The sequence below is a fragment of the Homo sapiens genome, chromosome 4 (genome assembly GCF_000001405.40).
Source record: "Homo sapiens chromosome 4, GRCh38.p14 Primary Assembly".
NCBI classification, from domain to species: Eukaryota; Metazoa; Chordata; class Mammalia; order Primates; family Hominidae; genus Homo; species Homo sapiens.
The window spans coordinates 157,030,122-157,033,505 of NC_000004.12; positions in this window are offsets into that span (position 1 = coordinate 157,030,122).

Consider the following 3,384-nt stretch of genomic DNA (forward strand, 5'->3'; position numbering starts at 1 on the left):
CCAGCTTTTGCCCATTCGGTATGATATTGGCTGAGGGTTTGTCATAAATAGCTCTTAATATTTTGAGATATGTTCCATCAATACCTAGTATATTGAGAGTTTTTAGCATGAAGGGGTGCTGAATTTTATCAAAGGCCTTTTCTGCATCCATTGAGATAATCATGTGGTTTTTGTCATTGGTTCTGTTTATGTGATGGATTATGTTTACTGATTTGCATATGTTGAACCAGTCTTGCATCCCAGGGATGAAGCTGACATTGACTTTCTTCACAGAATTATAAAAAACTACTTTAAATTTCACATGGAATCAAAAAGAGGCCGTATAAACAAGACAATCTTAAGCAAAAAGAAGAAAGCTGGAGACATCATGCTACCTGGCTTCCAACTATACTACAAAGCTACAGTAACCAAAAGAGCATGGTACTGGTACCAAAACAGGTCTATAGACCAATGGAACAGGACAGAGGCCTCAGAAATAATGCCACACATCTACAACCATCTGATCTTTGACAAACCTGACAAAAACAAGCAATGTGGAAACGATTCCCTATTTAATAAATGGTGTTGGGAAAACTGGCTAGTCATATGCAGAAAACTGAAATTGGACCACTTCCTTACACCTTATACAAAAATTAACTCAAGATGGATTAAAGACTTAAATGTAATACCTAAAACCATAAAGACCCTAGAAGAAAACCTGGGCAATACCATTCAGGACATAGTCATAGGCAAAGACTTCATGACTAAAACACTAAAAGCAATCGCAACAAAAGCCAAAATTGACAAGTGGGATCTAATTAAACTAAAGAGCTTCTGCACAGCAAAAGAAACTATCATCAGAGTGAACAGGCAACCTATAGAATGGGAGAAAAATTTTGCAATCTATCCATCTGACAAAGGGCTAATATCCAGAATCTATCTACAAGGAACTTAAACAAATTTACAAGAGAAAACAACCCCATCAAAAAGTGGGTGAAGGATATGAACAGACACTTCTCAAAAGAAGACATTTATGCAGCCAAAAAACATATGAAAAAAAGCTCATCATCACTGGTCATTAGAGAAATGCAAATCAAAACCACAATGAGATACGATCTCATGCCAGCTAGAATGGTGATCATTAAAAAGTCAGGAAACAACAGATGCTGGAAAGGATGTGGAGAAATAGGAACACTTTTACACGTTGGTGGGAGTGTAAATTAGTTCAACCATTGTGGAAGACAGTGTGGCAATTCCTCAAGGATCTAGAACCAGAAATACCATTTGACCCAGCAATCCCATTACTGGGTATATACCCAAAGGATTAAAAATCATTCTACTGTAAAAACACATGCACAAGTATATTTATTGCAGCACTATTCACAGTAGCAAAGACTTGGAACCAACCCAAATGTCCATCAATGATAGACTGGATTAAGAAAATGTGGCACATATATATCATGGAATACTATGCAGCCATAATAAAGGATGAGTTTGTGTCCTTTGCAGGGACATGGATGAAGCTGGAAACCATCATTCACAGCAAACTAACACAGGAACAGAAAACCAAACACTGCATGTTCTTACTCATAAGTAGGAGTTGAGCAATGAGAACACATGGACACAGGGAGTGGAACATCACACACAGGGCCTGTTGGGGGGTGGGGGGCTAGGGGCGTGATAGCATTAGGAGAAATATCTAATGTAGGTGACGGGTTGTTGGGTGCAACAAACCACCATGGCACATGTATACCTGTGTAACAAACCGGCATATGCTACACATGTATCCCAGAACTTAAAGTATAATAATAATAATAATCTAATTATAAAGCTGTTAACTACCCTCAAGTGTTTTTTATTTTAGAAAAGAGTAAATCACATTTGCCAACTAATAAATACATAAAGAAAATAATAAGACTAACTGTTTTCACTATAACTAGAAGGGTTCTGAAAAGGAGGCACAAAGATGGGGCAATCTATAGGATTGCAGAAGGCATTTGGATGCTGTGTGGCATAAGGGCATATGGACATTGAAGATTTACAGTGGTGAGAGGGAAATATGTAGGAACAATTCTTTGGTATTTTCAGGAAGGCCTGTAGGCAAAGTCTTCTGGTGTCTACTTCATTTATATTTTTAAAGTGCTTATTGCAGATGACATTCTTCTATATGTCTGATACAAATTTTATAAAATGATAAATGCAGTGATTTAGGAAAGACTGCCACAATGTGTCTTAGATTTCAAAATTCTAAAAGGAAAGTAAGATAAATTTGACACAAACTAATTCAGAAAGTTATGTAATATATAAAATATTAAAGAGATAACATGTCCATTTTTACATATCATCTAGAGGTTTTATACAATTAATATTATACAATATTAGCTCTTAAAAGCAAGATCTAGGAATTGGCCAATGATAGTGATATTGTCTAAAAGTTTCTGTCTTTTTTATTTTTAGAAAAACATCTAGATTCTCAACACAGTTACCTAAACTTGAATAAGAAATAGAACGAAACAATTCCACCTAGCCATAAACATCTACAAAAGCTAGGAAGTTTTAATAATTACAGAGTTCTTCTCCCTCTAAGTTACCTTGTTAACACCTCTTCTTCCCATCCATGGTGCCTTCTTTAGACACTAAATCTCATAACATCATACTATAATATCAGTATTGTTGCTGAAGAACAACTTGACTAACTCATAAGAGAACTTTAAAGTGGTGGACTACCATCACTAATCTGTAGAGGTTTGTTGTGTAAGAGACACAAGCCACACTTTGTAACAACCAGCATCTGCTGATGGTCTTCCTTTATTTAGGGATGTGGTCCCATGCTACAACTGCATTGTGTTCAGGCATGGTTTCCTGTGTCTTCAGTTGTTCCAACCAAGAATACTCTATCTCTTTGTCTCTTTGTTTTGCTCTTTTTCTGTCTCTCTCTCTCTCTCTCACATACACACACACACACACACACACACACACTTGATTATGACAGGAAAACACTATCGGATGTTAATTTATTAAAATATACAATTTTTAGGGCCAGTGCGGTGGCTCACGCCTGTAATCCCAGCATTTTGGGAGGCCGAGGTGGGTGGATCATGAGGTCGGGAGATCGAGACCATCTTGGCTAACACGGTGAAACCCCGTCTCTACTGAAAATACAAGAAATTAGCCAGGCGTGGTGGCGGGCGCCTATAATCCCAGCTACTCAGGAGGCTGAGTCAGGAGAATGGCGTGAACCCGGGAGTCGGAGCTTGCAGTGAGCCGAGATAGCGCCACTGCAGTCCGGCCTGGGCGAAAGAGCAAGACTCCTTCTCAAAAAAAAAAAAAAAAAAAAAAAAAAATATATATATATATATATATATATTTCATCATTTATCAGACCTCATTTTTTTTTTCACGCAG